Source organism: Homo sapiens, chromosome 4, assembly GCF_000001405.40.
Source record: "Homo sapiens chromosome 4, GRCh38.p14 Primary Assembly".
Lineage (NCBI taxonomy): Eukaryota > Metazoa > Chordata > Mammalia > Primates > Hominidae > Homo > Homo sapiens.
Window position 1 is genome coordinate 140,304,629 of NC_000004.12, and position 21,815 is coordinate 140,326,443.

Consider the following 21,815-nt stretch of genomic DNA (forward strand, 5'->3'; position numbering starts at 1 on the left):
GAGAAACTCAGGCTGTTCTCTGCACAGCTGCTGGAAAGCTCAGAACTTTGGGGAGACTCTTAGCTAGATTAGAGCAGGAAGGCTGGTCTTTGGGAAGGGGATAATATTAGGGGCATTTTGGTGCAGTGTTCCCCATGACTAGAAACTGATTTGTCCCTTTAAACAAGAAACCAACCAACCAACAAACCTAACGCTGCCCTTTATTCCTGATCCAGAACCGATTTGAGGTTGACATAAGTACCCCTTTTCTCCTTTTGCTATCTGGTGGACCCCATCTTCTCAGAATGATGTAGACACGTGTTCTAGCCCTTCTGTGATTTGTCCACTGCTGTGCTATTATAAGTATTATTGATCACACAATCCATTAGGGCACCATTCACCATAAATAATTTATCTCTTCAGGCATGAGCTCGTCTCTGCCACAGATGCCATCAGCAAGAATCCCCTTCAGGAGGTTTGTACTGAAGGAAAAACAACCGCATTGCAGATAGAGTTTAAGCACACAAGGCCCAGGGAGAAATGAAAATAATGACTGACCAAACCCTGTGCCTGGAGACTGCATTCTACTGGGGATGTTCTGTGAGAGACAGAACAGGTCTGAGGGTTTTCAGACCAGCATTCCTCCTACAGAAGGCATGCCGTCTTGACAAATAGGTATACGCCTAGTCTTTCTAGCTGAGGAAGTTTGTTTAGGCAGCATGTCAATATTTGTTGGACATACTAGAGCAGTTCTAGATGTTATAATTGCTGGGAGCTGGAGGGACAGAGGGAAGGGCAGGAACAAGCAGCAAAAGAAATAGCAGACATTGTCTTATATCTGTATGGACCTTAAAATTCTATTGGCCAAATAGGAAAGCACCTATAATCAAAACTGCAAGATCTCTGGCAAGAACAAACCAACAAACAAATGAACAAAATAATGCAGGAGGATTTAAGCTCAGATTGCACCTATAACTTGCTGACAGGCTGTATAACAATAACAGTGCTCAGATTTTAGGCTTTAAGTTGGTTTGTCAAGGAGGAAGAGCCATATAGCTATATAGACAGAGAGGAAGGTAGGGGAGAGGTGGTCATAGGGGAGGAGATGGGTATGCAAAAGTCTGCAATTGGGAGCTCACGAATCACGGATGCCAGCAAACAGATTTCAGCTGGGGCAAAGATTCCATGATGTAAAGCCAGAGAGTAACAAGTCAGCATTGTGGAAGGGAGCTGCTTCTTTATGGCTTTCCCACACAACGCTAGAGTCAGGGGGACCTTTCATAGGTAGAGAAGACCTGGGGAAAATTCACCTTTTCTCCCTTTTTAAATCCTTCTTTCTTGAGCTTCCTGGGACTTCCCTTCTACTATAGGGTCTTGGAGAGAAAAAATAATAATTAAGCTCACTTATAACACATCTATATGCTAACTGTATTAGTCTGTACTCATGCTACTAATAAAGACATACCTAAGGCTGGGTAGTTTATAAAGGAAAAAGGTTTAATTGACTCACAGTTCCACATGGCTGGGGAGGTCTCACAATGGTGGCGGAAGGTGAATGAGGATCATAGTCACGTCTTTCATGGTGGCAGGCAAGAGAGCTTGTGTAGGGGAACTCCCCTTTATAAAACCATCAGATCTCGTGAGACGTGTTCACTATCATGAGAACAGCACAGGAAAGACCCACCCCTTGATTCAATTACCTCTCATCGGGTCTTTCCCACGACAAGTGGGAATTAGGGGAGCTACAGTTCAAGATGAGATTTGGGTGGCAACACAGTCAAACCATATCAGTACCCCTCTGAGTAAGTTAGGATATAGACAAGAAAACAGCCCAAGTCAGGTAGTTCAATAAAGAAAATGAATAGGGGAATCAGCTACAAATGGGTTGTGAGAGCTGAAGAGCAAACAGGAGATGTAGAGGCAAAGATTAGCAATGGCAAGAACTAGAGGTATCAAGGAGATGTGCCTGGACCACCCAGACAACACTGGAGGCCTGGTGTGACCACAGGGGAAATGTGGACACTGCCAGAGACATCCCCAAACAGAGAGACAGAGGGGCTGGAATACTACCACTTCTTTCTTTCCCCTGCCCTCTAATTCCTGCTAGGATTTCCCTCTGGCCTAACTTAAGTGGAAGCCAGCTGGTCAGGACCCCTAGGAAGTATGTTGTAGGTAGGAGAAGGTGGGGAATGATCGACATTCCCTTGCACAGTATTTGTAGATGATTCTCAAAGAGAAGCAATGATTGTCTCCAGTAAATAGATTTATAATAGTGGAATTAGGCATGAAGTGAGGCAATATTTGGGAGCAAGTTCTTCTTAGTGACTGCTGTGGTCTGAATGTCTGTGTCCTCCCAAATACATATGTTGAAACCTAGTCCCCAACATGGTGCAATTAAGAGATGGGGCCTTGGGAGGTGATTAATGGGGTCTGTGCTCTTATACAAGAGGCCCAAGGGACGTTGTTCATCTTTTCCACCAAACAAGGATGCAGCAAGAAGGGGCCATCTATGAAGCAGACCCTCACCAGACATCAAATCTGCTGGTGTCTTGATCTTGGACTTCCCAGCTTCCAGAACTGTTGCTTATACATTTCTGTTGCCTATAATTACTCAGTCTAAGGTATTTTATTACAGCAGCCTAATACAGTAACTCTGCAATTAACACTACTCAGTCCTCTGCTGATCTTCTGGTAGAGCATACTCTGCTAAAATCAGTGTTGTTCTGCAGGTAGGGAGTTACCCAGATCTTCTTTGAGCAGTCTGAGGTTCCTTCCACTATGATTGCCTAAAGTTTAGCTCAGTGAAGAATCAGCAATCACTTGTCTTGACCCAAGAATACAAGAGCTAGGGGCTCAGTTAAAGTTCAGGAGGTGCTTATCAAAGTCTATGGTTTCTGCTTCTCTAACTCAGTCCTAGAGATGAAGTCTTATGGTCTACAAAAGTCTACAGCTTCCCTTTCCTTACAAAGATCCTCTATTGTTGTTTATGAGCCCCTCTTGTTCCTCAGGGATCTTGCACATCCCAGAGGAGCAATCTTGGCCTGTCTGAGTTTCTTAGGTTTGATCTAAGTAGCAGATTCAACCACATATGAGTTCTATCAAGGCCGGATGGACACTCATGGATACTGGGTCTCTCACAGAAATCCTATCTCCAAGGAGATGCTATTTCACAATCATTAGGGATTGTATGCCTTTACATTAAATATTTCAAAATTATTTCAAATAGTGGTCATGACAAGAGATGATAATAAGAGGACAGGGAGATTCTATTTTATTTTATCCCAAGAAGCTAATGTTGATGTATATTGCATTGATTTAATATAGTTCACTTAATGTGATTGATCAACCACAGGAAGACGGCCTTTATGGAGACATGATTCTTACTCTTATGCCAATTTAGTCAGGGCTAAGAAGAGGATGTCAGGTATTTGCTGGTGGTAGAGGCTGTGATAAGTTCAGGACTGTGCAGGCAGATCATTGCTTTCAGAGAGTGGGATATGATGAATGTGCTATTCATCTGTTTAGTGCTATTGCCACAATTTGCTGGTTCTTAAACAGAGCTTTACAAAATAGGCTTGTTGTTAGGCCAGGCTGCTAATTGTGCTAGTAATTAAAAATTGGCAGTGCTGAGATTGGCCCATATTCCCTACCTCAAAACCTTCCAAGTCAGCGTTTGCCTTTCACAATGAGCAAAACACCTGCTCTGTTTCCTCCACTCATTTTCTAGGACCTTCAAATGCCACTCAGTTGATGCTTTCACAGAGCCTGGGAGGATTTCTGGTGTTTCATTCAGAAAGACTGTATGCACACTGGAGAAAGCAGGACTATATATAGCCAGGGCCGAGCAGAGGATGACCTCCGTGAATGCTCCAAGGAGCCAAGGACATGACTGCGCTCATGGCCTCAGATCACCCTCCTGCCAAGATTCTTTGATGACACCAAGTTTTGCTAAGATTTTCTGGCTCTGGGAGCCCGTGTGTCGATTCTTGGAGGTTGAGAGCCACGTGGCAGCCTGCAGCTTGCCGGCTTGTCTGTGCACGCACGCTCATGCACTCACATTCACTGAGAGTTGATGCGTCATCCTCCTATATTTATCCAGTTGCTGTTTCAGTGGCTCTGAGAAGTGTCTGGAGAAAAGCAAAGCTGCTTCCTCCTGCTATGCAAGCTGTCTGAGCTCCAGAGACAGGCTCTACTGTCTTGTTCTGTGTGTGTGGAGAAGGGGCATGCAGAACATGGTTCCCAGAGTGCCTGGGTCACTGATGAGATGCCCTCTTTTTTCCCCCAGCCAGTCTAGAGCTTACAGTTCAGGAGCAGGCAGCTTTGGCACTCTAGCCACAGCCCCAGTGTTTTTGCTCACGCCCAGTTAGGTCTAACTGGGAGGGCCATGATGTGAGTAGAATAAACATCTGGGTGAAGAGTTGGAGATGGCCAGGGCCCTGGGGTAAGACAAAGTGGGAGCAATAGCTACAGTAAGGAATGAGTATCTGGAAAGGTATCATTGAGCATAAGAGCTGAAAGGGATCATTGATACCATCTTCCCAAGACAGCTGTTTTACAGGTGAAGAAACTGAGGCCAAGTAGGTGAAGAGTCACGCAGCACCAGTGCTGATCCTGAAGTGATGCACTTTTAATTCTAGAGCAGTGACTTTCCATGACCCTGTGCCCAGCAGGTGGAGCCTCACCTCACAGCTGGCCATTCTCTGGCAAACATCCTGCAGAATGGAAGACCCAAAGACAATGTGCTGAAGACCAACCATGAGTCTCTGTCAGAGGAGTCACTGATAGGTGATGGGAAGTGTGCTGGAGAAGTGGCTGCACTCAGGTCTCTGGCTTCTGCTGGGCCCCCTTCTAACATAGCCTTGTCACCACTCTGTTGCTGAGGCATTGTCACATCCTGTACTCTGGCCACCTCCCAGGCACATCCTTTTACAATCACCACTTTATACTTTGTGGACAAGCACAGTACCCACAGAATAACTCACTCTAGAAAGATTCAAATAGATATATCCAAATAAATCTGGGCTTCTTTGCCATTCCTTAAAGCCTATTACCTCATGATAACATATGCAAGAGAAAAACAAATACCATTCCAAATTCTTGAAGAATGATTAATATATTGAAGCTTTCCTTGAACAGGAGTAAAAGAGAGTTACTCTGAAGTGCCTATTCAAACTTGCAACAAATCCACTTTTCCATTCCTGTCTCCCCCAAACCCCACAGCTCATGGCAGCTACTGAAATTTCTCTTCTCTCTTTCAAAATCTCCAGCCTAGGTTGCCTCTCTTGACACTCCCTCCTTCCCTCTGTCTTGCTATCCTTGCCAAGTTCTAAATGTTTTCATTGCCTCCTTAGGTGGCTCTATGCCCTTTCCCATGTAGATCAAGTAAACCTCTCTTTACTTTCTCCCCATACTTTATCTTTTCTACCCATTTCTCTGACCAGCACACCAAAGGCATCCAAAGGCATAGGAACTGAGCCACTGAAACAATAATCTTCCCTAAAATATGGTGAAGGAGATTATTGTAAATTCTTATGCTTTATATTTTAAAAAAATCTTTGTCACATGAAAATCCAAATCTGATTGATCTTCAACCAGTTGTACTTGGTTGGGTTGCTCCATTGTTGAATTCCTACAGGGCTGGAAGTGATACAATATTAATTAAAGGCTCTTTAAAGATGATGCTTCCTTATTTCAAATAGGCTTCTGCTGCTTCTCATCCGGGGGAAGTCACAAGTTTCTCTCCTGGATAGCACTCTTCTTAGGACGTTATGGGTGCATTACCAGCTGCCTGTTGCCAGTGGGATTGGTATATCCTTTTTTACAAGGTTCTGGTCAAATCTTAAATAAATTCTGAAGAACAATAAACCCTTCAGGAACTTTCGCTCTATGTGCAATGTGTCTGTAAAGCAGCAACCAGTAGGCATAGAGCATTTGACATAATTTCTTGCATTGTTGGGAACCTTCCTTCTCCCTCGTGCATTCCTGCTTTGGACAATATGATAGGAGTTTTCATTCTTTTGAAAGCATTGGGAAAAGTAGCTTTAGCCCCTCTCAGCCCTGTTCACTTTTCCCTGAGGGACTAGTCATGATTTAGCTGCCTGGTGAAGTGGGGAGTTTCTCCAGGCTCATGGGAAACTCTGCTCTTCCTGTCCCTTCTTCTTCGGATCTCCCCCCGAGGGTGGGTGTGTTTTGCCCACCTCCTGTCTTGTGGGTGGCAGTCATGATGGGGTTAGGAGCCAGCTCTGCTTCCAGGGCCAGGTCTCAAATCCTAGCTCTCACTTTGTTCCAGTGTAGAGACATAGCAGATGCAGATGATGCAGCTGTTTTGCTCTGTGTGTGTGCTCTGAGGAGCCAACCCTTCCTTGAGTGAGATGTACCAAGTGTTAGACCTAGGGAAAAACATTAGAGAGTCTGCCTGTGCCACAGTTAACTCCTACTCCTCAATCTAACTTATCCTTAATAAAACAGGTTTTTAGCCAGGCATGGTAGTGCACACCTGCAGTCCTAACTACTAACTACTTGGGAGGCTGAAGTGGGAGGACCACTTGAGCCCAGGAGCTCAAGGCTGCAGTGAGCTATGATTGTGCCACTACACTCTAGCCTGGGCAACAGACCCCTATCTCTTAAAAATAATAAAAAAAGATTTTTTTTAACCTTCACTTGTCTGATTTCTCCAATTGTTTCTCAGTAGCACTTGTGAAACTGTAGTATCTTCATTCAATTAACATAAACTAATATTCAACTACCAATGCTGTAAATACCCCTAGGGAGGGAGTACATTAACTCATAACCCCTTATGTTGAGTGAATCTATGTCATGCAATTAGCATTATCCAGTCATCTACAATGAATGAGTTTAAAGCCAAGAAAAACAGAATTCATCCTAGATGAATTCTTAGGATGTTATCAAGGGTGGAGATGAGGACCCCACACCCCATGATCCAACTTACAGTGTATTTTTATCTCAGTGCTTGGCAGACCAGGAACATGCCCTCTTCCTCCTGGTAAGCCTGGATGTGTGTTGATATCAGCACAGTGGTGTGGGGAACAGGGGTGCCTTGGGGTCAGACTGCTTGAGTTAATCTTTTCTTTACCCCAACCATAAGACTTTGGGCTGCTTACTTAAACTCTTTTGGTCTTACATTTCTTACCTGGGAAATTGAGATAATACCTAGTAGGATCATTGTGAGAAATAAAATGAAAGAATTGTGTAAAGATCTTTGAACAATGCCTGGCAAGTAGTTAGCCCTCAGTAAATGTCAGTGATTATTATGAATAGTAAGAAAATATTTTTCTGCCACCTAAAAATTTTCCTTGAGGATGCATCTTTAGAATGTGTCAATGGGAAAGTATGCCGTACTTTAAAAATAATTTTGTTTTGCAAACATTTTAGAACAAACACTTTTAGCGAGAAATAGTTATATTGCTTTCTGGCAAATATGAATTGGGATTTACTTGTTAAAAATTAGAAATACGACTTCTATTGCTTTCTCCACCCATACCATCTCCAGAAACATTTCTTAGCTGCTTTTACCCAAAGACACATGTCAGACCTAAGATCTAGTGACAACTGCCTCTGGAAGGTCTTGACATGGGCCCCTCAGTGGAGGCATTTCTAATTTTGAAATGAGCTGTGTGGTTCAAAAGCTCTATGCTTTCCAACAAGTAGATGATTGATAAGACTTTCTCGTTCACTGATCAAGCTTGATAAAAAGGAAAAACAGGAACTAAAAATACCCTTTGCATTTGAACTGGGGGCACTGAAAGTACAAGGAGGCCAAGATTTACATATGTGATTACATAGTTATATATTTATTTAATTAATTAATTAATTTATTTTTGAGACAGGTCTAGCTCTGCTGCCAAGACTGGAGTGCAGTGGTGCCGTTATAGCTCACTGTAACCTCGAACTCCTGGGCTCAAGTAATTCTCCTACCTCAGTCTTGAGTAGATAGGACTATAGGTGTGCACCACCATGCCTGGCTAATTAAAAAAATATATTTTTGTAGAGCTGGGGTCTTGGCATGTTGCACAAGCTGGTCTCAAGCTCCTGACCTCAAGTGATCCTTCTGCCTCACTTGGCTGCTAAAGTCCTGGGATTACAGGCATGAGCCATAGTGCCTTGTCCACATAATTATATATTTAATTGGTAGTTTGAAGTAAAATTATCCTTAAATCTAGGTATTTTTGTTGTCACATGTCATAACCTTGTAATTGTTGCTACAACAAGAAGAGAATGCCTTTTTGCTGAATTTTTAAGAAAAACTCAACATTCTGGCCATTATACCATCTAGGAATTTTACAACCTATAGACCTATCAAGACAGAAATTAATTTGAAGGTCACATCAGCCTTCATATGAATTTTCTGTAAAATTGAGATGACATTTTACATGTTAACTGAGTAAAAGTGACATCATAAATGATGGTCATTTAGGTTCTGTTTCTCTTTTCCAGCTGGAAAGCCCATGTGAGAGGTACTTTAGGGAAACTCTCGCTAAGTCAGTCCTCCACCTTTTCATGCCAGGGAATCCTGATGTTATTCAATGCATTTGCCATACATTGTACTTCCACCGAACAAATAAACTAAAAGTCACTAACCTGAAGTTTATCCTGTAAGCAAAAAGTTATCAGACTGGAAATACGGATTTGTTTTTTGAAACGGAGTTTTGTTCTTGTTGCCCAGGCTGGAGTGCAATGGCGCGATCTAGCTCACTGCAACCTCTGCTTCCCGGGTTCTAGCGATTCTCGATTCTCCTGTCTCAGCCTCCTGAGGAACTGGGATCATAGGCCCGTGTCACCACACCCAGCTAATTTTTGTACTTTTAATAGAGATGGGGTTTCATCACATTGGTCAGGCTGGTCTCGAACTCCTGACCTCAGGTGATGTGCCTGCCTTAGCCTCCCAAAGTGCTGGGATTACAGGCATGAACGACTGTGCCCGGCGGAAATATAGATTTTAAACTTAGCATATGAACAAGTGTGGAGAGTAATAATGGCAGAAAATTGATATCTTTTATTGCAAATCTTCCATCTGCACCTAAGAGATAGAGGTCTCGGACCTAAGAGCCTAAGCTAGTATCCCGGTGGAGGCAGCCACTAAATTCAAGACCCTCTTGCTAATACGCAATGTAAAGCCAAGAGTAAAAGCAAAAAAGCCATCGTTTCATGAAAGAATTCAGTCCTGTTTTTTTTTTAAATGATTAAGAGAATATTTATTTAAGCAAGAATACATACAGTCGGCTAGGTGCGGTGGCTCATGCCTGTAATCCCAGCACTTTGGGAGGCTGAGGCGGGTGGCTCACTTGAGGTCAGGAATTCCAGACCAGCCTGGCCAACATGGCAAAACCCTGTCTTTACTAAAAATACAAAAAATTAGCCGGGTGTGGTGGCACTCGCCTGTAGTCCTGGCTACCTTGGAGGCTGAGATGGGAGAATTTCTTGAACCAGGAGGTGCAGAGACTGCGCCACTGTACTCCAGCCTGGGTGACAGACTGAGACCCTGTTTAAAAAAAAAAAAAAAAAGAATGCATATGGTCATCATTGCCATTGCCAGACTTGACATGAGATGTTAAATGTTCAGCCCAATTTTCCTTCCTGGATAAGTTTTTCTTTTCTATCCCTGTCAGTTTTGAAAACATAATACTAGAAGAAGAGGGGCCCAATTCCACAGAGAGCTCCCAAGAGAGGGTTTTTGGGAGCGGGTCTAAAATTGGGATAGACACTTGCTGATCTTGCATAGGTCCAACAAATCAAGGCAGTATTTTGGATGAGCCCTTGGCGGTTAGGGTTGTTGTACTGAAGCAGGTATTCCTGTTTAGGCCAGGCCCTTATGGCCAATCGCTCAGCTTGTGCCCACTGGGTCTCCAGAGATATGTCGTATTCAGCTGGGTTGAGGGTTGAGGGCAGAGTGGCCAGTCGCGATGGAGTATACTGGGAGCTACATCTTGGCCACCCAGCCCAGATCTCATTCTTTGTGTTCTTTTGGGATTCCAATGCTTTCATGAGTAAGAATTCTCATGAATTCTTATGGAAAATAGCAAAATATCCCAGGCAGATTCTCTCTTTTGCATATAAATCTTAAGGGGAGAGGGAAGCAAGAGAGGCAGATGTGGAAGTTGGCAGAGCAGCTAGCGAGGTGCTAAGTGGAGACACTAGCGTGGGGAGCAATGAGAAGTTGGCCTCAGAAGGCAATGAGATGTCCAGGGCCAGGGGTGCCACTGGGATCTGAGAGCCCGAACAGCTGTGAACTCCACCCCCCCACCAAGTTCTCCACAAGGTGTGGTTGTGTGGTTGCTGAATGTTCCTTTCCATTTTCTCACTTTCCTGTTCATTCTTACAATAACCCCCAACCACCAAATTTGGGTCTGTGTCCCTTGAACCCAAAAGAATCTAACATTGGGTCACAGTTTCTATCAAGGATCTGAGGACTAGGGGCAATTTAGTGTCCCTATATGTTAGGACTCCCACTTAAAGAACTTGGTTTTTTGATCCTAACAAGTTCCCTGTAAAGAACTCCATATTCTCTCTCTTCAGTGAGTGAAATAATAAAAATGCAAATCTCCACTCTTCCCCTGTGTGTCAAAGACATTCCTTTTCAAGGAGGTTCATTCTAAAGTGACCTCTGAGTAACAGTACAAAGTAGTAGACAGTAGCTTAGGTATTTTCAAAGGAACGGGTATGCCTAACAGTATCTAACATTTATTGTGTGATTCTTTAGGCTCTGCACTGAATATACATTACCTAATCTAATTCTCACCACAACCCTTTCAGATGGGTATAATCCTATTCCCTGTTTATATTTTAGTAAGTGACTGGAGATCACCCAATTTAGTTAAGTGGTAGAATTGGGGTTCAAATTTGGTTTTAACTGTAGAGCTTGAATTCTTAACCAGTGTGCTATACTAAAAGCAAACTCTGAAAAACACATCTCATCCAATTTCTTGACAGGATATTTCTGTTCCCAGTGATTTATTCTATTAGTAGGTCCAAGTAGCTGAGCCTTTGGGCAACTCCCAGGACTTTCTGCAGTGGCCTCCTGTGACCCCTGCACTGTCTAGTGGAACCAGGGTATGTGTTCTGTGTTCCACTGAAAAATCACAAGGGATAACCTACCACTCTCAGCTTGCTCTTTGAACGCTTTAACCCAGATTTTTCGAAGTCTCTACTTTTACCTGGTTCTTGCTTTTTACTGCAATTTCCAAGGGATCCCTGCCTCAGGCCTTTTTTCCACCCAGGGGAGAGAAGATGTGCTATCATATGATTTTATTAGACAAGAGAAATAGGCCCAACATGTACTGTAGCATTAAGATAGCAGGTTGCAGTGGCTTTTTCGGTGGTGAAACATTTCCAGAAATAAGAAAATAAGTCCCATCACCAGGTCTCTAGCTGTGTTTCTTCACACTGGCACCAGACAGAAGCTCTAGAAAATGTAACATATAATGTGCCATCCCCCAATGAGGCCTCATTGGCAGAAACACCAACAAAAGTCACACAACTCTGTTATGATAATGTCAAGCATCTCTCATCAGTATGCCAGCTCCAGGGCCTCAGTCAACAGATGTGAATGGGAGGATAGTGGTAATTCTCTCAATTGTTCACTCTGGGGACATTTTCATTCAGATGCTTATGTGTGTTTCACTTGATCCTTCTTACAACCTCAGTGGGAGGCTGGGTCAGATCGGGGACAGTTTCCCAAGTCAATAACGACTTCCTAGAAGGAAATCTAGGGATTTTTCTCTCTTAGCCACAGATTCACAAACATACCCATTCTTTAGTTGTCTGTAATGCCATTAACAGCAATTATTTCAATCTATGTATATAGCATTACATGTTTGCATATAGATATATTTGCTTTATGTGCACCTTTGTAAGAACACACCTCTTGCTTACAAGAGTCAAACTGTGTCTTTGTTTTAGTGTCCTAATTGAAAAACATACACGTAGACCAAAAGAGGTGAACACAGATTCTCAGAGAAGGGGTGGAAAAAGGGAGTGAGTGTGTGGAGGGAGTCCTTTTCAGAATCACCTGGGGATTTATTCAAAGTGCCTTTCCCTTGCTGCCCTGACCACCCCACTGCACCCCAGAAGGAATCATTACAATTGAGGGCATGCTGAATCCCTCAGATGCATTGGAGTGGAAAAATTCTTCAGTTACTAAAATATAAAATATTTTCAATGAAACTATGATAACTAGGTGCCTGGGAATGGATTACTTTTGTAGCAGGTATGATTCTCAGTCTACAAATTAAGGTATGCAAGCAATACTAAATCTCTTTATTTTCTAGAAATCAATTAAATTTGACTAATCTCTCCAGGCTCATGAGAAAATATAATCTGAGTCATTGTCGGAGCCTCCCCTCCCTTCTCAAGGTCATGTCAGTGCCCAGCATATTCTGCAGTGTGAAGGTGTCTATGGAGACTCGTTGTTTTCGTCTGTTCCACAGGTTTCCACGAACACTTCCGTTGTCCATGATCTTAAGGGCTTTTCAGGACTGCTGACATTTTGATGCTTCCAAGCCACACCTAAGACAGGGGACTCTCTTGTAAGATGGCTTAGGGGTGTTGTTTGCCTAGATACTGCATGCAGCTCTTTCTCTATGGGTTCTTGTTAGGGAGGAGACCACCCCTCATATTGTCTTATGCCCAATTTCTGCCTCCAAACAAAGAAGAAGTAAAAACTAAAAGGCAGAAATGGAATCTACAGGCAGATAGCACAGCACCGTGTCCTGGGCCTGGTAGTTAAAAATCAACCCCTGACCTAATTGCTTGTGTTATCTATAGATTTCAGACATTGTATGGAAAAGCATTGTGAAAATCCCTGTCCTGTTCTGTTCCGTTCTGATTACCGGTGCATGCAGCCCCCAGTCACGTACCTACTGCTTGCTCAATCGATCACGACCCTCTCTTGCGGACCCCCTTAGAGTTGTAAGCCCTTAAAAGAGACAGGAATTGCTCACTGGGGGAGCTCAGTTTTTGAGACATGAGTCTTGCTGACGCTCCCAGCTGAATAAAGCCCTTCCTTCTTTTTTTTTTTTTTCTACTGTTTGCATTTTTATTTTATTTTATTTATTTTATTTGTATTATTATTATTATTATTATTTTTAATTATACTTTAAGTTTTAGGGTACATATGCACATTGTGCAGGTTAGTTACATATGTATGCATGTGCCATGCTGGCGCGCTGCACCCACTAACTCGTCATCTAGCATTAGGTATATCTCCCAGTGCTATCCCTCCCCCCTCCCCCCTCCCCACCACAGTCCCCAGAGTGTGATATTCCCCTTCCTGTGTCCATGTGATCTCATTGTTCAATTCCCACCTATGAGTGAGAATATGCGGTGTTTGGTTTTTTGTTCTTGCGATAGTTTACTGAGAATGATGGTTTCCAATTTCATCCATGTCCCTACAAAGGACATGAACTCATCATTTTTTATGGCTGCATAGTATTCCATGGTGTATATGTGCCACATTTTCTTAATCCAGTTGATTTAAACGTTAGACCTAAAACCATAAAAACCCTAGAAGAAAACCTAGGCATTACCATTCAGGACATAGGCGTGGGCAAGGACTTCATGTCCAAAACACCAAAAGCAATGGCAACCAAAGCCAAAATTGACAAATGGGATCTAATTAAACTAAAGAGCTTCTGCACAGCAAAAGAAACTACCATCAGAGTGAACAGGCAACCTAAAACATGGGAGAAAATTTTCGCAACCTACTCATCTGACAAAGGGCTAATATCCAGAATCTACAATGAACTCAAACAAATTTACAAGAAAAAAACAAACAACCCCATCAAAAAGTGGGCGAGGGACATGAACAGACACTTCTCAAAAGAAGACATTTATGCAGCCAAAAAACACATGAAAAAATGCTCATCATCACTGGCCATCAGAGAAATGCAAATCAAAACCACTATGAGATATCATCTCATACCAGTTAGAATGGCAATCATTAAAAAGTCAGGAAACAACAGGTGCTGGAGAGGATGTGGAGAAATAGGAACACTTTTACACTGTTGGTGGGACTGTAAACTAGTTCAACCATTGTGGAAGTCAGTGTGGCGATTCCTCAGGGATCTAGAACTAGAAATACCATTTGACCCAGCCATCCCATTACTGGGTATATACCCAAATGACTATAAATCATGCTGCTATAAAGACACATGCACACGTATGTTTATTGCGGCATTATTCACAATAGCAAAGACTTGGAACCAACCCAAAAGCCCTTCCTTCTTTAACTCAGTGTCTGAGGGGTTTTGTCTGTGGCTCGTCCTGCTACACTTGCAGCATCTTTTCTTGTCTATTCCAAGGCCTCCCTTCATCTCCACTTCTGGTGCAGGAACCTTTTTTCTACTCTAGGAAGCCTTCTATTCCTCCAGTTATCCTTTTTGTTTCTTCTAACAAGGCTCCCATTTTTTTCTTCTTTATTGTAAACGCTCTAAGTTCTACTGTGAGCTCAGGCTTCTGGAAACAAAACCCAGAACTTCTCTTTTTTTGAGATGGAGTTTCATTCTTGTTGCCCAGGCTGGAGTGCAACCACACAACCTTGGCTCACTGCAACCTCTGCCTCCCAGGTTCAAGTGATTATCCTGCCTCAGCCTCCTGAGTAGCTGGGATTACAGCCATGCGCCACCACGCCTGGCTAATTTTATATTTTTAGTAGAGATGGGGTTTCTCCATGTTGGTCAGGCTGGTCTCACACTCCTGACATCAGGTGATCCGCCAACCTTGGCCTCTCAAAGTGCTGGGATTACAGGCATGAGCCACTGTGCCTGGCCCAAAACCCAGAACTTCGTGGAGTTATTTCTGCTTTCTGTGCTACCAAATAATTTCCTTGAGCCCATATGAAACACAGCCAGCTCCAAGTTTGAGTGAGAGAAACATACAGAAAAGAAAAAAAAATACAATTTAGTGACCCCAAATTTCATTTTTTTCTCATTTTTATACCATCTTTACTAGTGATTCTCAGTTCTAATTTCCAAATATACACAGAAAGATGGTTTGGGGCTGTTGCAAAAATTCTCTAAAACTTTCAAGATCAAGTTAATGCTGGAGAAATTTAAAATTCTAAAATAAATAATGGTTCTTGTTAAAGCTCGGAGATTTAAGAGGTTAGAAAAGTACTTCTCCCATTCTAACAATGAGAAAAAAAAAACTAAACTACAAAATTAACAACTTTTTTGAACCTATGAGAGAACTTATGTTATAGGCAAATAACTTTCTTAAAACCAAGAGAAAGACAAGGGCCTGCAGGGAGAAACAGTATTCAAGCATACACTTACCTAGAACAGATACTGCCAAATGCATAAAAAACTGGTAAGAAGCTTATGCTAGAAATGTTTAAAGAATTGCTAAAGGCCAAGTGTGAGCTAGTATCAGAGGCATTTGAACCGGAGCAACTCCAAGGGGCTGGGTAAAATAAGGCTGAGACCTACTGGGCTGTGTTCCCAGATGGTTAGGCATTCTAAGTCACAGGATGAGATAGGAGGTCTGCACAAGATACGGATCATAAAGACTTTGCTGATAAAACAGATTGCAGTAAAGAAGCCGGCTAAAACCCACCAAAACCAAGATGGCCACGAAGAGTAACCTCTGGTTGTCCTCACTGACACACTTTCACCAGCACCATGACAGTTTACAAATGCCATGACAACCTCAGGAAGTTACCCTATATTGTCTAAAAAGGGGAGGCATGAATAACCCACCTCTTGTTTAGCATATCATCAAGAACCATAAAAATGGGCAACCAGCAGCCCTCGGGGCTGCTCTGTCTATGGAGTAGCCATTCTTTTATGCCTCTACTTTCTTAATAAACTGCTTTCACTTTACTGTATGGACTTGCCCTAAATTCTTTCTTGCACAAGATCCAAGAACCCTTTCTCAGGGTGTGGATCAGGACCAGTTTCCGGTAACACTAGCATGAGAGTGTGAAGTCCCAGGGGCTGCAGACACAGAGGGTTCACACTGTCTTACAGTTTTTCCCTCCAAGAACAATAGGAGCTCACAGGGTAGATCAAGGAGAAGCCTCAGAAAATGTCCTCCAAGATGCTGGCTGGAGAAGGGGAATAGCAGCCACTGCCCAAACACCACCCTGATACATTCCCTTCATCTTCCCTACCCAACAAAGCTTTAATCTGCAAAGGGAAGTTGGTCAAAACTGTACCACTGGAAACTGACTGCAGCTAGGAGAGGAGAATACGAGGGAAAAGAAGCTTCACTTTGGGGGCAGGGCAGGAATATTTGCTAGGCCAGCACTACAGCTGGAAAAGTTGCAGGAGCCACTGAGACCCAGGTTTTCAGTTTCTGCTAAGACTGATGCTTCGTAAGAATATAAGAGGTCGCCCCTCTCCCTCTCTCTGCCACCATGCTAACAAGAGTTGCATCAGAATATAGTTTGGAGAACTACTTACAGACTCTCTCCGGAGGATAGTGCAAAGGGGAGACTCAAAACCAAGAGAAGAGACAGAAACAATATATCACTAGGGGAGTTTAAAGCTTCTGGACCCCTGAGGGTAACCATAGCAATAACAAACTTCCAGTCCAACTCTGGACTAAATTAACACAAATTCCCACATTAAAAGTCTAGCAGAAGGAAAGGCATGCTCAGTTCCAAGCATAAAAATATTTACATAGTATCTACTGCCCTGTATAACATATTTACCATTCATCAAAAAATCCCATGGTACACAAAAAGGCAAGAAAAAACACAGTATGGAAAACTGTGTTTCCCAAAGTAATCAACAGAACCAGCCTCATAAACATGTTGGATTTATCAGACAGGGAATTTTAAATAACTATGACAAATATGTTAAAGACTAATGGAAAAGGTGGACAACATGCAAGATCAGATAGATAAGTTCAACAGAGAGATAGAAACAACAAGAAAGAATCAACTAAAAATGCTAGACATCAAAAACACAGTAGAAGATATGAAGACTGTCTTTCATGGGCTTACCAGTAGACTTGATATAGTCAAGGAAATAATTAATGAAGTGGAATATAGGTCAATAAAATTTACTCAAACTGAAACAGAAGGAGAACAGAGTGGAAAAAAATAGGACAAAATCTCCAAGAGCTATGGGACAATATTAGACAGTCTAACATATACATAATTTGAAATCCCAGAATGAGAAGAAAGAATGGGTAGAAGAAATGTTTAAGAAATAATTGCTGGCAATTTTCTAATTACTGACAGACATTCTTATGTTCTGAATGTATCCCCCTCAGATTCATGTGTTAAAAACTCAATCCCTAATGCAACAATGTCTTAGAGATGGGTCTTAATGGGAGGTGTTTAGATTATGAGGGCTCTGCCCTTGTGAAAGGATAAATGCTGCTATAAAAAGGGCTTGCAGGAGTAGGTTTGCTCCCTTCCACCTCCTGCCATGTGAGGATGCAGCAAGGAGCTCTAGCTAGCATCTGGCTCACCAGATGCTAGCACCTTGATCTTGGACTTGCCAACCTCTAGAACTGTGAGAAATAAATGTCTGTTTCTTTAAAATAAATTGTCTAGTCTGTGGTATTTTGTTATAGTAGTCTAAAACAGACTATGACAGAAATTGGTACGAGAGGAGTGAGGTGTTGCTGTAATAAATACCTACAAATGTGGAAGCAACTTTGTAACTGGGTGATGGGTAGAGGCTGAAACAGTTTTGGAGTGAATGCTGGAAAAAGCCTATATTGCCGTGAGAATACATTAAGAGCATTGAGGGTGATTCTGGTGAGAGCTCTGAAGAAGAACAGAGGTGTAGGAAAAGCCCCAGTCTTCTTAGAGATTACTCAAGTGGTCATGAACGGAATGCTGGTAGAAGTATGGACAGTGAAGGACATTCTGATGAGGTTGTAGATGAAAATGAGGAACAAACATTGGAAACTGGAGGAAAGGCCACCCATGTTACAAAGTAGCAAAGAACTTAGCTGAATTATGTTCATGTCCTAGGATTTTATGGAAAAGGCAGAACTTAAATGTGATGAACTAGGATATTTGGCAGAAGAAATCTCGAAGCTGAGAAGTATTTTAGGATGCTAAGTGGCTTCTCTTAATTGCTTATAGTAAAATGTGAGAAGAGAGAAACAATTTAAAGATGGAATTTACAATTAAAGGAAAAGCAGAACATAAACATTCAGAAAATCTCAGTCTGCCACGTAAAGAATAAGAAAACATGTTTAGGAAAGAAAATCATGGGTGTGGCCAAGTGACCATTTGATAAGGAAATTAGTAGGGATAGAAGGAATCCAGGTGCTATTCATCAAGACAACAAGAGAATGGCCCCGAAGGCATTTTGGAGATCTTTAGAGGCCGCCATGCCCACCACAGGCCCAGAGTGCTAGGCCTAGAAATATCATCAGAGTGACCAGATGAAAGGAAATAATATAGAACATAAATAAATGAAATTGAAAATAGGAAAACAATACATAAAATCAATGAAACCAAAAGCTGATTGATATAGTTTGGATGTTTGTCCCCTTCAAATCTCATGTTAAAATGTGATTCCCAGTGTTGAAGGTGGGGCTTGGTGGGAGGTGGTTGGGTCATAGGGGCAGATACCTCATGAATAGCTTGGTGCCCTCCCCACAGTAATGAGTTCACATGAGATCTTGTTGTTTAGAAAGGAGCCTGGCATTTCCTCCTCCCTCTCTTTTTTGCTCCTGCTCTAAGTGACATGTGTGCTCCACCTTCACCTTCCACCATGAGTAAAAACTTCCTCACCAGAAGCCAAGCAGATGCTGGTGCCATGCTTGTACAGCCTGCAGAATAGTGAGCCAAATAATCTCTTTTCTTTAGAAATTACCCAGCCTCATGTATTCCTTTATAGCAATTCAAATGGACTAATACACTGATTCTTAGATAAAGTCATAAATTTGATAAGTCACTGGTTAAGCTGGCCAAGAAAAAGAGAGTGAAGACACAATTTCTCAACATCAGGAATGCAACAAAGGACATCACTACTGATCTCACAGACATTAAAAATATAAGAGAATAGTACAGACAACACTATATCCATAAGTTCAACAATTTAGATAAAATGAAACAATTATTTTAAAGAGCCAAACTACCACAACTCACTTAAGAAAGATACCTAACCTGAATACTCCAATATTTATTAAGAAATTGAAACTATAGTTTTGAAACTTCTAAAAAGGAAACTCCTAGCCTAGATGGTTTCGCTGATAAAATCTACAAAACACTTAAGCAAGAAATAATCCCAATTCTACATAATATCTTCCAGAATATAGAACATTTATGAATTCATCTGGTGAGGTAAGCATTACCCTAAGACTCAAACCAGCTTGCACATTGCAAGAAAAGAAAACTATAGCCCAAGATACGTCATGAAAATAAATGCAAAAAATGCTCAACAAAATATTAGCAAATCAAACATTGCAATATATTAAAAGAATAGTATATAACCAATTGGGGTTTATAGCAGATCCCAGGAAAGAAAATCAGGCTTACATTTAAAAAATCAATCAATGTAATTCATTATATTATATACATTCATCTCAATAGAAACAAAAACAAAATCAATGAAATTCAACATCCATTCATGACAAAAGTCTCAGAAAACTAGGAATAGAAGAGAACTTCTTTAACTTTATATAGGAAAGCTATGAAATACCTACAACTAGCATCATACTTAAGAGTAAAATACTGAATGTTTTACCCTCCAAAACTGGGAATAAAGCGAGGATGTCCTCTCTGACTATCCCCAATCAACACCAGACTGGAAGTCATAGCCAGTGAAATAAGCCAAGAAAAACAAATAAATAGCATACAGCTTTGAAAGGAAAAAGATAAGCCTGTCTTTAATTGAAGATGACATGGTTATCAATGTAGACAATTCCAAAAATATACAAAACACTCCGAGAACTCATAAGTACATTTAAAAAGGTCAATATACAAAAACCAATCATATTCCTATATTCCAGAAATGAATAGTTGTCATTTGATATTAAGAAACAAGATCATTTACAATTGCACTGAAAAAGTTAAGTACTTAGGTATAAGTCTATTAAAACATGTGCATGGTCTATATGTTGAAAATGACACTGATGAAAGGTATTAAAGAAAAATCTAAACACATTGACAGATACACTGTGTTCATGATTTGGAAGCATTAATATTATTAAGAGGCCAGTTCTCCCCAGTTTGATCTGTAGATTCCATGAAATCCCAATCAAAATCCAGTAAGCTTTTTATAGATGATGACAAGCTAATTTTTAAACTTATATAGAAAGGCAAAGGACCTAGAATAGCCAAAGCAATGCTGAAAAAGAAAAAAAAAAGTTGGAGGATTCATGCTAGGATTTCAAGACTTATTCAAAACCTATACTAATCAAGACAGTATTGAATAAGCTAAAGGACAGACACATGGAGCAATGGAACAGAAAAGAGAATTCATAAATAGATCTACAGAAATATTGTCAGCTGATTTTTAACAAAGGTGCCAAGACAATGCAATGGACATAGGATAGTTTTTCAGAAAATGATGCCAGAATAGTCCATTTGCAAAAAATGAATCTCCCTGTACCTTAAACAAAAATTAACTAAAAATGGATAATAAACCTAAATGCAAAACATAAAACTATAAAATGTCTAAAAGAAAACATAGAAAATTTGTGTGATCTTGGGTTTGGCAATGGGTTGTTAGATACAACAATAAAAGCACAATCCATAAAAGAAAAAAACTGATAAATTTGACTTTATCAAAATTTAAATCTTTGCTTTGCCAAAGATGCAGTTGAGAAAATAAAAAGACTGGCACAGAGGCAAGGCACAGACTGGGGAAAAAATTGCAAATCACATATCTGACAAAGACTCGTTTCCAGAGTGTATATATAATATGTCTCTCTCTATATAATGACATGTTAAAACTCAGTAATAAGAAACAACCCAATCTTACAAACGGGCAAAATATCTGAACAGATATTTCTTTAAGAAGATATCAATAGCAAATAAATATAAAAGAGGTGTTCAGCATCATTTGTTATCAGAAAAATGTAAATGAAAACCATAATGTGATAGCACTACACACCTATCAGAATTTCTGGAATAGAGAAAAACGTGGCAGTATGGTGAGATGCAAAGCAACAGGAACTCTCATTCATTGCTGTTGAGCATACTAAATAGCACAACCAGGTTGGAGGACAATTTGGAAATTTCTTATAAAGTTAAACATATACTTACCACATGATCCAGAAATCCCAATCCAAGGCATTTATCCAAATGAGTTGAAAACTAATGTTCATACAAAAATTCATATAAAAATGTGTATAACAACTTTATTCACAGTCATTCCAAACGAGAAACAGCTGCAATGTCCTTCAGTAGGTAATGGAATAAGGAACTGTGATATATCCGTACAGTAGGCTATTGCTCAACAATAAAAATGAATGCATTATCGATTTACACAACAACACGGATCTTAAATGCATTCTGTAAGTGAAACAAGCCAGACCCAAAAGGCTACATATTATATGATTTCATTTTTATGACATCGTGTAAAAGGCACAACTATAGGGATAGAAAACAGGTCAGTGGTTCAGTGGTTAGCAGGGTTGAGGGAAACGGGAGAGGTTTTCTACAAAGGGACTGGATGAGAAGTAATTTTTAGCATGATGAAACGGTTCTATACATTACTTGGGCAGGTGGATACATGGCTCTATGCATTTTCAAACCCCATAGAACAGTAGTCTACAAAGAGTGAACTTTACTGTATGCAAATTGAAAAAAAAATCAACGAGGATGTTTAGGGGGAGATCCCAATAGGCAACACAGAAAAAAGTTATTTGCTGAGCAGCAACTTTTAAAGGTGCCAGAGAGTTAAAAC

At 41.0% G+C, this 21,815-nt stretch overlaps 1 protein-coding gene, 1 long non-coding RNA gene and 1 pseudogene across 2 annotated transcripts in view, besides 1 other annotated feature; 1 reads left to right on the forward strand and 2 right to left on the reverse strand.

The window, feature by feature from the left end:
- The window catches only part of SCOC (short coiled-coil protein), a 128,421-nt gene that overhangs the window by 47,321 nt on the left and 59,285 nt on the right, over positions 1 to 21,815 (forward strand). The gene's annotated exons all lie outside the window — the stretch shown is intronic.
- The window catches only part of SCOC-AS1 (SCOC antisense RNA 1), an 89,667-nt gene that overhangs the window by 20,903 nt on the left and 46,949 nt on the right, over positions 1 to 21,815 (reverse strand). The window lies entirely within an intron of this gene.
- Positions 9,535 to 9,922, reverse strand: NDUFB4P9 (NADH:ubiquinone oxidoreductase subunit B4 pseudogene 9; annotated as a pseudogene).
- Positions 11,279 to 11,958: an enhancer, noted in NCBI's record as "OCT4-NANOG hESC enhancer chr4:141237061-141237740 (GRCh37/hg19 assembly coordinates)". NCBI's record gives its function as "activates a minimal SCP1, AML or CMV promoter by ChIP-STARR-seq in naive and primed H9 embryonic stem cells {active_cell/tissue: H9 hESC(naive and primed)}" and the evidence as "EXISTENCE:reporter gene assay evidence [ECO:0000049][PMID:30033119]".